The sequence below is a fragment of the Homo sapiens genome, chromosome 19 (assembly GCF_000001405.40).
Source record: "Homo sapiens chromosome 19, GRCh38.p14 Primary Assembly".
In the NCBI taxonomy this organism is placed as follows: domain Eukaryota; kingdom Metazoa; phylum Chordata; class Mammalia; order Primates; family Hominidae; genus Homo; species Homo sapiens.
The window spans coordinates 56,758,126-56,764,125 of record NC_000019.10 but is presented as its reverse complement, the minus strand read 5'-3'; the positions used below and the strand labels follow the sequence as shown (position 1 = coordinate 56,764,125).

The window sequence follows — 6,000 nt, the reverse complement described above, 5'->3', positions numbered from 1 at the left end:
TTTATCAACATACCACTGGATAATAGTATGCAAGCAGACATAATTCTAACCTTCATTCTGTTTTCATTTTTGCTTCAGAAGACATTTTAAACAAATAATTACATAATTAATTAAAATTGCAGTGTGTGTTCGCTGAGAGTATAGAAGGAGAAATGACACAGGTTGGCCAGCAGGGGTGATCAGGAAGTGACATTTCAGCTGTGATCTGAAGGCTGAGGAGCACATTTTAGCATGGAAAATCAAGATGTTTTATTGATGGAGTGTCACAATTTGATTGGCAGTGTCTTTTTCTTTCTTAATGGAATGCAAGATAGTGGAGTATCTTACAATCAATGGTGGTTTCTATTCAATAGCATGTATTAATCTGATTAGAGAAGAGGTGTCTCAACCAGGTTTGTGGAGCTCAAAGATCCCATGTAGGTGTTGCAGAAATGACTGTGCTGAGGGGTTGGGAAAACACCAAATAGACAAGGATCCCAGCCCTCTCACCCTCGTTTACACAAGAACAGCTCTGGTTTTTGTTTTTTGTTGTTCTGCTTCACATTTATTTCTTCATAAAAATACATATTTAACACCTAATATGTGTCAGGTACTACGCTATGCACAGGGGATACGGCATTGAAGAAAACAAGACCGTGCCTTCATGGATATTATATTCAGAGGAATGGGGTGGTTGGGGTAGAACAAACACACTCAATAATTTATATAATTTCATAAGGGTGGTAAATGTAATGGAGATAGTAAAACAGAATGAGGTGTTTTTCACCTCAGAGAGGAGCTCTCAGATAACTGTGGAAGTGACCAACCCTTACCTTTGCCATATTCTATTGGCTGAAGGCAAATCCCAGGTTCCTACCACACTCAAGGGGAAGGGTTTATACAAGAAAGTGACTAATTGGTGGTCACCTTTGTGTGCATCTGCCATGCCCCAGTAGTCACCAGAGACTTGATCAAGCTGGCTGGTCACCTACCCATTTTCTCTCTCTTTGGCCAATTTATGTCTCCCCTAAGGGTTATGTCTTTGATCAAAGGGTGGTCCCAGGTAGAGCAGAATTGTTCAATCCTCAGGGATATGTTGGTAGGACTGCAACGGACTCCTAAAACTTCTGAGAAATGCCTCTGTAAGGTAAGATTTTTTAAAGCCCTAGACACATATAATTCAATCTCTATCATTAAAAGAAGTAGAGGCTGGGCATGGTAGCTCATGCCTGTAATCCCAGCGCTTTGGAAGGCCTAGGTGGGAGGATCGCTTGAGCCCAGGAGTTCAAGACCAGCCTAGGCAACATAATGAGACTCCCATCTCTACAAAAAAAAAAAAAAAAAAAAAAAATTAAATGTTAGCAGGGTGTGGTGGTGCATGCCTGTAGTCCCAGCTATTTGGGAGGCTGAGGTTGGAGGATCACTTGAGCCCAGGAGGTTGAGGCTACAGTGAGCTATGATCATGCCACTGTACTCATGTCTGGGCAATAGAGCAAGACCCTATCTCAAAAAAAAAAAAAAAGAATCCTGAGTGATTCTGAAATATCAAACCTAAAAATATCAATCTAAAAATATCAAGCCTTTCTCAACCTTCTTAACTCCGGGTAAACTGCCTAACTTATCAGAATTTTATTTTGCTTATCTAAAAAATGAGGAAAATTACAACTACCTCACAGAGGTGTTTTGAATATTAGAGATAATGTACATAAAAGTGACAATGTATGTAAAGTTTTAGTGCCACTAAACATTAGTACAGGTGGCCATTGGAAGCATAATGGTAGGATTGAGTAAGAAGATAAATGGTGGCTCATCAAGAGATCAGATGTGAGGGACTGATTACAAATTAGTAAATAACATTCTCTCCTTTCATGAGTTTTATCTGGGCTCTCAGCTGGAGACAACATTTCCCAGCCTCCTTTGCGGTCAGTGTGACCATGTGGCTAAACACCAGCCAATAAGATGTTAGCAGAAGTGAAGCGTATAACTTCTGGGTCACATCTTAAAACCATGTAGCTTGCCCTCCATTTCCTCTGTCCCTCTTCCAGCAGCTGGATTGTGAATGAGGTGCTAGTGATCCAACTCCCACCATAGGAATAAGGAAACCTTCAGGGATGGTAGAGCAACGAGATAGAAGGAACCTGGCCTCAGGATGACTGTGGCATAGAGACACCCAGGGTCACCTCCAAGCACAAATGATTACACAAAAGAGAAACAAGCCTTCTGTATGACTTAGGTTGCTGTTATTTTGTTTCTGTTAAAGCAGCTGAACCAGAAATACAACAAATACAGGGTTTGCTATCAGAGAAACATTGCAGAAAGATAAAGGTACCCTTGACTTTCCCTTAGGAAGCAGCCGCGTGAAGACTACCAACCATTTCTCTGCACGTCCAATATGGCCTATTTTTCTTCTGGAATAGATGCTGCTGCTTGTGATGAAGGCTTTGGCTTGCATTTAGGACAAACACTAGATGAAAAAATGTGTACCACTAAACATTAGAACCACATTGAGCAGGATAAAACATGTCCACATGGGGAAGTGCATGGAAACCGAGGCAGGCTGAGAGGACAGTCTCCTATTGGATTCGTAGTCCAGGTCATAAATTTATTGAGTGAGCTCTTGGGTGGAATCACCCACCCTATTTAAATTATTTGCTCCTCCTCTTTCTCTCCTCCCCTGTGTACATTTAATACTATTTGCCTAAATTAAATGCACATTGGATTTGTCTCCATTTTATCCAGACATCCATCAGGGTTCTCCTGCATGATTCATTGCAATTCAACTTTGTTGACAACTTTGGCGAATAGGTGTGTTCCTGGGGGTCTCTGGAGGCACTAACACTTCCACCACGACCACAAGGAAAATCTTGGGAAGGTGGATTTTTGGGTCCCTCCCGCATCCAGATGGCAGACCCTAGTATGGCACCTGGAGATAGAGCTTCCACAGGGCTCTCTTCATGTCCTGGTTCCTCAGGCTGTAGATGAGCGGATTCAGGGTGGGTATGAGGATGGAGTAGAAGACAGCAGCCAAGCGCCCTTCCAGCGGGGAGTAGCGGGTGGTGGGTCGCATGTAGGTGGAGCTGCCGGTGCCATAGAACAGGAGCACCATGCCCAGGTGGGAAGAACAGGTGGAGAAGGCCTTCCGGCGGCTGGCTGCTGAACGGATCTGAACCACTGTGGCCAAGATGCGGATGTAAGAGAGGACAGTGAGGGCAAAGCAGATCATGATGACACAGCCACTGGCTGTCCTGGGGCCTGCTGTCAGTTGAGTGGGGGAGCCAGACATGAATCAAATTAGCCTGGCTAATTTTTTTCTATTTTCAGTAGAGATGAAGTTTCACCATGTTGGCCAGGCTGCTCTTGAACTCCTGACTTCAGGTGATCCTCCCACTTCGGCCTCGCAAAGTGCTGGGATTACAGGCATGAGCCACCGTGTGTGGCTGCAAATTTTGTATTATGTGTATCTTGCTACAACTAAATATTAAGAAAGAATACCTATTTACTTTTCCATTCTTCAAGAGTTCCGTCTAATGACAGCAAAGATACTTGACAATAGGCATTGCCTCAAATTAGAAAAAAAAATGAGATACTTAAAAAACTGGTGTGTTTACATATATTTGGTTTTTGTTTAATAAGGTTTTTTTTGAAGTGAAAATAACTGCACACATGGCTGTACCAGGCTGTCTGCCTTTGGACAGAGCAATGCTAGGCTGAGGTGTGGGATCTTGAGCCCTGGCATGGACACAGCTGTGGAGAGAGTGCAGGCTGCATTTCACATCCTCTCATCTCCTCAGACAGGAGCCTAAGTGCGGGGTAGAATACGCACGGCCATCCCCAGCGGCCCTGGCTGTGCGTGAGGTCTTAGGAGTGTCTGCATTTTACAGAGCAGGGCACTGGGCGCAGGGAGGGGAGGTCTCCAGGCTGCCTGGCCCTGAACCCACGCCTCCGTCACCTGCTCCCATCCTGTCTCTGAGCATCCAAGGAGGGGAGTCCTGGCACCTCCCAGAGGGGGGATTTGAGGGCTGCTGTCTTGCTCTGCATTCTGGCTTGGCATTTGGGGCTTGGGTAGGGTCCTACCAAGGTGGCTGTAAAGGAGGAAATGTGGCTTGGGGCTCAAATTTGTTCATTAATGAATTCATCTCTCAGGCTCTGTTTCAACTTGCCCTCCCCCAACACATACCTGTGTGGGCAGAATGACCGCCCTGCACCTGCTGCACCTGGGCTCTGGAATGACCGCCCTGCACCTGGGCTCTGGTCTGTTCACGTAAAGCCTTGTTCTCATTGCATGAATCACAAAGTTTCACACACAGGAGTTAAACAGATCAGGAGATACCTGCCATTAAAAGGAAAGTTTGTTGCTCATAATCACAAGTCGAGGGCACAGCACAGCCAGGGGAGCTACACGGGGAATCACCTGGTCAGCAAAAACCCAGAGAGATGCAGGAGGAAATGTGGACAAAGCCACTGAAGTTCCCTTTGGAAGAAACAGGTCATGCAGGATAAGCAGGCTGACGACAGGCTCATTTAGGTCATTTTAGTAGCTGTGGGTTATGGGACGTCCTTCGTTGTTTCTGATACCTGACCTTGGGTGACTGTGCACGTGGATTGTGGCTCAGAGCTCCATAAGGTGTGGCTGGGGGTGTAAGCTAGGACTGGTTGGTTTACCCATGAAAGGCACACTTGCAGGAAAGTTGTGACTATCTCCAGCGGTTGAAGACAGCTGAGAGGGGAAATGTCTCCAGGGTCAGCCAGTCCCAGATGTCAAAGCATCAGAATACAGGAAGTTAAAGATGGTTTGGTGCCCGCATCCTCAGGGAACTCCCCACTTCCTGTTGTTCTGAGTTCTCTGTGGATGTGGAGTGACGACCCCAAAATACTTCGATCCACACTGTGGTTGACTATTATAACCCACTTAGATCAGTAGTTCCAAGCCAGGGTGATTTTGCCCACTGGGGACACTTGTCAATATCTAGAGACATTTTTAATTTTCACCTCTGAAAGGGTCCTGTGAAGCCAGGAATACAGTTCAACATCCTCCAATGCACAGGAAGTCCCTGTCCCCACACGACACGTTATCCAATCCAAATATTCCACACCACCAAGGTGGAAAACCCATTATAATGATCCTCCAAACCCTCTCGACGATCCATATATTGACCTCTTCTCCAATCCTCCCTCAGCCTTCCACTCCCATTGAACTTCTCATTACCAATAACCAAAATCACTTTATCCCATCAGATCAGCATCCCATCTCCTACATCAGCTCCCTGACTTCCAGGCGACCCCTTCCCCACCTGACACCAATGTCCCCCCGTTCCTTGGTGACCAGCGCTCCAGGAATTCTACCATTTTACACTGAGATTCACCTTTACACCCGGCCACCTTCCATGGCTAATCCTCAGAATCAATTCCTTCTGCACACATGCAAATCTCTTTTTTATATTCTTCATGCAATTCTTGTGGAATATCCCATCGCTGCTGGACTCTGACCCTTTTCTGCTCTGCCCCTCACTCCTGTGGCTGCACGTGGCTGGGGAGAAAAAGCTCCTCTCCCACTGCCTGTTTTCACTCTTATCTCATGGCAACTCATCTCCAAGGATGCTGACAGCTGCCTGGAAACAGGACCCGCTCCTTCATTCTCTCCGACTGCAGTGAAAACCTACTGCATTCCTGCTTTTCTGTCCTCACAGCTGCAACTGTCTGCTGGGGTATCCCCATGCTTTAAACTTAAGGGAAGAACAGCAATGTTCCACATCTGACACACCATGAACTACCAGCTCCAGCAATTCACAGACTCAACATTAGCTCTCTCTACATTACTTTTGCTAACATCCTACCTTTGTGATACTGGATTGGCAGTGGTTGCTGTGAAGAGAAAAGATCACCACCTGAAATCAGCGTGGATGAGGAGTGTGAGTGTGAGTTGGCCCCTCATCAGATATATATAGTTTGCAAATATTTTCTCTCATTGTGCAGTGTCTCTTCACTCTGTTGATTGTTTTCGTTGCTGTGCAGTATCATTTT

General features: G+C 45.7%; 1 long non-coding RNA gene and 1 pseudogene across 1 annotated transcript in view; one reads left to right on the top strand and one right to left on the bottom strand.

Moving 5' to 3' along the window:
* Nucleotides 2,893-3,261, bottom strand: OR5AH1P (olfactory receptor family 5 subfamily AH member 1 pseudogene; annotated as a pseudogene).
* Nucleotides 5,641-6,000, top strand: part of LOC105372472 (uncharacterized) — a 69,204-nt gene continuing 68,844 nt past the window's right edge. Inside the window, exon 1 of the long non-coding RNA XR_936108.3 lies at nt 5,641-5,894. This is a non-coding gene — a long non-coding RNA (uncharacterized LOC105372472). The remainder of the gene's footprint in view (nt 5,895-6,000) is intronic.